Raw genomic sequence first — 6279 nt, forward strand, 5'->3', positions numbered from 1 at the left:
TCTGAGTGACTTGCCTGATTTTCCTCCTCAGTCTGGGAACTGCAAAATGTTATTGAACTGAACCTGGGTCGGCTCACCCAGCACAGCAAAGCCAAACGCTGACACTGAGATTTGCAGGGAGAGAAAGAAAGCATTTATTGCAGGGCACCAAGCAAGGGAAATTCAACAGCTAACACTTAAGACCTGAGCTTCTCGATGGCTTACAAAAAAGGGCTTTCAAGGGCAGGGATACATTTCAGAAAGCAGAAGTTACAGGCAAAATCATAAATCAATACATGTAAGTTATTGGTTTGGCCCAAAAAGGTGAGCTATCTTTCTTTCTTTTTCTTTCTTTCTTCCTTTCTTTCTTTCTTTCTTTCTTTCTTTCTTTCTTTCTTTCTTTCTTTCTTTTCTGAGATGGAGTCTCTCTCTGTCACCCAGGCTTGAGTGCAGTGGCACAATCTTGGCTCACTGCAACCTCTGCCTCCCAGGTTCAAGTGATTCTCCCACCTCAGCCTCCTGAGTAGCTGGAACTACAGGCCCTCACTGCCACACCTGGCTAATTTTTGTATTTTTAATAGAGACAGGGTTTCACCATGTTGGCCAGGCTGGTCTCGAACTCCTGACCTCAGGTGATCCACCCACCTCGGCCTCCCAAAGTGCTGGGATTACAGGCATAAACCAGCACATCCGGCCTGGAATATCTTCAAGTAGGGCTTATAGGTCATGAGTAAATTCAGAGATTCATTGAATTGCAGTTGGTTAAGGGAGCAAGAGTTTATCTGAAAGCTTGGGGTCAGTAGAAAGGAATGTTAAGGCTTGGCCTTAACATAGGTTAGTTAGGATAAAGAAACCCATAAATTATCACGTGCTATGCCAGAGTCAGGTCATGCAAGCAAGCTGCAATATACTGGACCAGAGTGACCAGCTTAGCAAGATTGATGGCCTGTAGGCTTGACTCTCTCTGTGTCTCTCAGGAAGAAATTTAGAACAAAAAACAGTGGTCAGAGTTCAGTCCTCAGCTCCCCCTTATCTGATGTCTGTGTGACAGCAGTTGGCAATTTTCATCTAGCGGGAGTCCTGGTTTCTAAAAGAAAACTCAAGAACATATGCTAAGGTGTTATCTTTTTGTTTCTATGGGGAAGCAAATATCTCATGACTCAGGCTTACTTGGGTGGCTATTGTTTAAGCTACTACTACTCTCTTCTTTCTTATTGTGTTGTTCATTTTCTTCTCAAGGCTAGCTAGATGCCTGGAATTTCCCTTGAAGGGATTCAATATGTTTTCTTTATTTCCGTACATGAGGGGTGGGGTGGGGAGAATGGCAGGTGCCTAAGAGGGGTCCCTGCTTCTTCTTAAAAGGATTGTAGCTATGCATTGCCCACAGGACTGGGCTGTCCCATGAGCAGAGTGAAAGTCATTTCCCCATACTGGTCAGGGAGCTTTCTAAGGGAAGTGGTGACATTTTGAGAGTTCCAAACAATAAGTAGCTACTGTTATTTTTATCATTGTTGCAATCATCTTGTTTCCATCTGAGGGAAAAGCCAGGAGGAAGCTGAATAGGGGAAGTTCTGGGGCTCTTGGAACATTTGTTGTGCATGCAACAATTCCCAACTGGTAGTGTCTGTCCCTGCCTCCCTAAGTCCCAGGACATGTCTGATGCATTCCCATGAGACTTACAGGAGATGATTAATCTGTGATTGCTGATGTAGGGCTGAGGAATTTGGGTCTTGACTCTCCCTTCTGGGAACTGAGGGAGACACTCCCTCAGAGATCTAGAAATAGTGATGACATGATTTATCATCAAAACAGGGTCACTCTTGAGAGTAAAAGAGGACACTATTAATCATCACACTGGAACAACAGGCACAATGACAGGTATAAACTGGGACTGTCCTTTCTACAAAGCATGTGAAATCTACTTCTCAGGGCCACCTCTTCAGCCGTCTCTCAGCTCCTGTTCAGTTCATCTCCCATTTTCTTCAACACAAGTTTGCTAAAGTCTGGGGAGGAGCTGAACAGTGGTCAGAGGGGCAGGACTCAATAAGGCCATCCCTAAGGCCCTTATGGGCACAATCAGGAAGCCCTCAGATCCTGCACCTGCTGGGGAAAGTGTATTCCCAGCCTTTGCAGAACCCCTAGTCTGATAGGAGAGCCACGGGCCTTAACCTTGGTGAGTGCCTAGTCCGATGGGGGCAATGCAGACCCTTCTCTTGGGGAGCTCACACAGTACTGTGAGCGTGCCTGGACATTCTCACATCCTCAATCCCTTAAGCCTTTTTTCTGGGGAATAACCACTGCCATCAGTTTCTTGTGTCTCTTGTGTGAGCAGGCAATGCAAATTAGACATTTATTTTTTTGTATCATCTGCTGCAGTGTGATCAGCTGCTGGCCCGGAGCACCTGCACTGGTATCCACTGAGATGTGACTGGTCCCACGAAGTGCTGGCAGCCTCTGTCGTTGACCTCAGAGATTGCAAAGGCTTTCAGAATCAAGATTCTGCCCTCGGTGGCCTTTTATTCTAAGTCCAAGCTTCTCCTAGTGCTTCGGTCTAGTCCCCTGGTGCATTCATAGCTCCTTGGTGCCCCAGAACTCCCAGTGCCTTTGCCACATCTTATTGAGATATGCCCTCAGGTCCACCTGCCTCTCCTATGTGGCCCCCTTTTGCTGCTTAACCAGGTGAGCCATGACATTAAGCTGAAGGCTCATCTCCCCGTAGTAGTTTCCTGGAAAAGCAGCACAAGAGCCCCTGCCTGGTCCAATTTCCCACATTCCTGTCTTGGTACACCGCAAGGGGAGTGCGCCTCTGAACACTCACTCTGCTCAACCACTCCCTCCTTCCAGCACCTCCTGGCTGGCTGCTCCTTTAGCACTAGGAAGGGCCACCCCTTAGTCGATCACTTTATGTCATTTTATTGTCAATAACTCTGTGGCCTGCCCTCCAAACTTTGGTTCTTGAAATATGAAAATCCAGCTTTGGGAGTTGTGAGATGCACCCACTTTCTACTTCTGGAAATGTTGAACTTTCAAGAGTGTGTGCTCATTCTGAACCTTACAAGGTCCAGAAATCAAAACGGAAAAAGACTTCCCTGTTCTAAGCCAATCCAACCTTCCCGCACCCTGATGTGACAGCAAGCACTTTGCACAAGCCCAAGGATTCCGGACTAGACTTGATGGCCCAGGGTCAGGGAAAGAAAATGGAAAAAAAGAGAGAGAATTAGAAAGACAGAAATTACATGGGGTGATACTTCAAAAACATTACTGGGTTATAATAAGGCTCCGTTGTATGAATGGATCATAATTTATTTAACTGGCTTCCTATTAAGAAACATTCAATGTTTTTCTAGTGTTTTCCTTACAAACTCTGCCTCCATGAACATCCTTGACCACATCTATAAGAATACCTATGAAATAAATGCTTATAAGAGGACTCACTGAACCAAAAGACAGCTATATTCACAGATATGGCCAAATTGTTCTTCAAAGGAAGAGATGATTTACATTGCCATCAATTTTGCATGAGAATGCCTATTCTCCTGATACTTTTGCCAGTAATATTTTTTCAAGCTTTTATTATTTTTTCCAATCTGACCGATTTAAAAAAAGAAACACTAACTTGCATTATCGTTTGTTTATAACCCACTTCCGATGCTTTAGACTCCCTGTTTATGTGCTTTGTCCGTTCTCCTTGTAGTATTTTCATTTGTTTGTGGACTCTTAACATATTAAGAACATCAGCCCTTTGTGAAATGTGTTTTAACCGTTTTTTTTTGTCTTACCCTCTTTTTTTTTGAGATGGAGTCTCGCTCTGTCACCCAGGCTGGAGTGCAGTGGTGTGATCTCAGCTCACTGCAACCTCCACCTCCTGGGTTCAAGCAATTTTCTGTCTCAGCCTCCCTAGTAGCTGGGATGACAGGCACCTGCCATAATACCCAGCTAATTTTTGTATTTTTAGTAGAGATGGGGTTTCACCATCTTGGCCAGGCTGGTCTTGAACTCCTGATCTCGTGATCCACCCGCCTCAGCCTCCCAAAGTGCTGGGATTACAGGCGTGAGCCACCGCACCTGGCGTCTTATCCTCTTAAATTAAAACTTTGCTTACAGTATGTTCTCCCCATACAGCTATCTCTCATGTAGTCAAACTGATAGCTTCTATGTTTTGGTGTTGCTTGGAAAATTCTTCCCCATTCCAGAATGCAAAAAATAAACTAAAACATACCACCTTTCCTTCAGGTATTTCCCACTTTTTATTTTAATGCTATATATCTGATTCATCAGCATTTACTTTTTTGGTAAGGAGTTCCTAACCAGTTGTCCCAACATAATTTATTAAATAATCTATCTTTTCTGGTATAAAGCCTACCTTATTCTACACCTTGAATTTTAATGTTTATTTTCATATTTGTGGATTCTCTCTTCTCTTCCATTGCTGTTACTTAGTGATAGGTAGATAAGAGAAAACTCAGTTACAGTACCTTTATAGTACTTTATAATATATTGTAAGATAGTTCCCCCTCCATAACTCTTCATTTTCACTTTCGAGGCTATTCTTGCCTTTTTTTTTTTTTTTTTTTTTTTTTTTTGCACATAAATTTCAGAAGAAAATTGTATCTAATTTTCTCCTCTCAAAAAAATTCTGTTAGTGTTTTTATTGAACTTGCATTCAATTTATAGATTCATTTAGGGACAATTGATGTTGTTATAACATTGAATATCATTATTGAAGACATTCATTCATGTCTCTTAAAAATATACTTCAGTAGAATTTACAAGTTGTTTTTTTTCACATGGAGTCTTAAGATTTTGTTCGTTTGTTTTTAGAGACAGAGTCTCACTCTGTCACCTAGGCTGGAGGGCAGTGGTGCAATCACAGCTCACCATAGACTCAAACTCCTGGAATCAAATGATGCCCCCACCTCAGCTTCCCAAGTAGCTGGGATTACTGGTGCAAGCCATCATGCCCAGCTAATTTTAAAAAATTATTTGTTAGAAATGGGCTCTCACTACGTTGCTCAAGCTGGCCTTGAACTACTGACCGCAAACAATCCTCCCACCTTGGCTGCCCAAAGTGCTGAGATTACAGGCATGAGCCACCATGTTGGGCTGAGTCTTAACACATTTTCGTTACATTTATTTCCAGGTATTTCATCTCTTTGCAGTCTTAATGAGGTATTTTCTTATGTGTATTATCTATCCTAATTGATAGTTGTTTCTATAAAGAAAGCTACAGTTGCATATTAATTTTGCTACCAGCCATCTTACAGGATTTTCTTTATGTTTTTATTATTATTTCAGTTGATTCTTTTGAGCTTTCCAGGTAAGTAATCACAAATCTGCAAATAATGGTAATTTCTATAAAATTGTTAATCATTTTACATATAAGATATCACTAAAATCATCCCCTTCTCTGCCCCTAAATGCACCTGAAATAGCCATTGAGATGGCTTTCTCAACATCCCTTCACTCTTCCCTCAATTGACCCTTCAGCGTCCCCACCTTGCCTGCATTGTCCATGTGCTTTGGGAAAAGCTGCTTTCCCTTGCTTCTGGCAGTGAGGCATGTGGCTCACACCTACAGTAACCATGACAATCCTTCTACCACCCCTGGCCACAGATAAACACTCAGAGTTGGACATGTGGTCCAAGTTGGAGTGTGATGGGGGCTTCTGGATACGAGTCCATCACTCTTTCTAGGCAGTGAGGAGGCATTAGCAACCTTCAACTCCCAAAAGAACCCAAATCAGGATATAGCTGGCAGCAGAAAGATTGAACAATTGGTGGCATCATTGAGCTACTGAACTAAACCAACCCTATAGGCCATCCTCACTTTGAACTTACAACTAAAGCACCAATGGCTCCCCTGTTGTGTAAGCCAATTTAAGATAGGTGTTCTGATACTTGCAACTGAACACACTGTAGTCCACACACCACTATCAAAAGTTAGTCAAGCTCAGTGACCTTAAAGATTGCCTGGGTCTTAGGTCAGAATCCCTAGAAAGGGCCTCAGACTTCTCAATTTCTCCAAATGGATCATAGACCTTAATTGAAAATCTAAAGCTATAAAACTTATAGAAGAAACCATAGGAGAAAATCTTTGTGACCTTGGGTTAGTCAAAGAATTTAAAAATAGAACACCAAAAGCACGACACATAAAAGAAAAATAAATAAATAAATTGAATTTCAAAAATAAGAACATACTCATCAAAAGCCACTCGTAAGAGAGTGAAAATACAAATCATAAACTGAAAGAAAATATTTGGACATCACATAGCTGATAAAGGACTTGTGTCTACGGTATATA

The 6279-nt window shown here is 42.2% G+C and overlaps 1 annotated feature.

The window, feature by feature from the left end:
• Window positions 1137–2336: an enhancer, noted in NCBI's record as "P300/CBP strongly-dependent group 1 enhancer chr2:119671170-119672369 (GRCh37/hg19 assembly coordinates)". NCBI's record gives its function as "activates an origin of replication core promoter dependent on BRD2, BRD4, P300/CBP, MED14 and CDK7 cofactors, with strong dependence on P300/CBP, by STARR-seq in HCT116 cells {active_cell/tissue: HCT116}" and the evidence as "EXISTENCE:reporter gene assay evidence [ECO:0000049][PMID:35650434]".

Source organism: Homo sapiens, chromosome 2 (assembly GCF_000001405.40).
Source record: "Homo sapiens chromosome 2, GRCh38.p14 Primary Assembly".
Classification (NCBI taxonomy): Eukaryota; Metazoa; Chordata; class Mammalia; order Primates; family Hominidae; genus Homo; species Homo sapiens.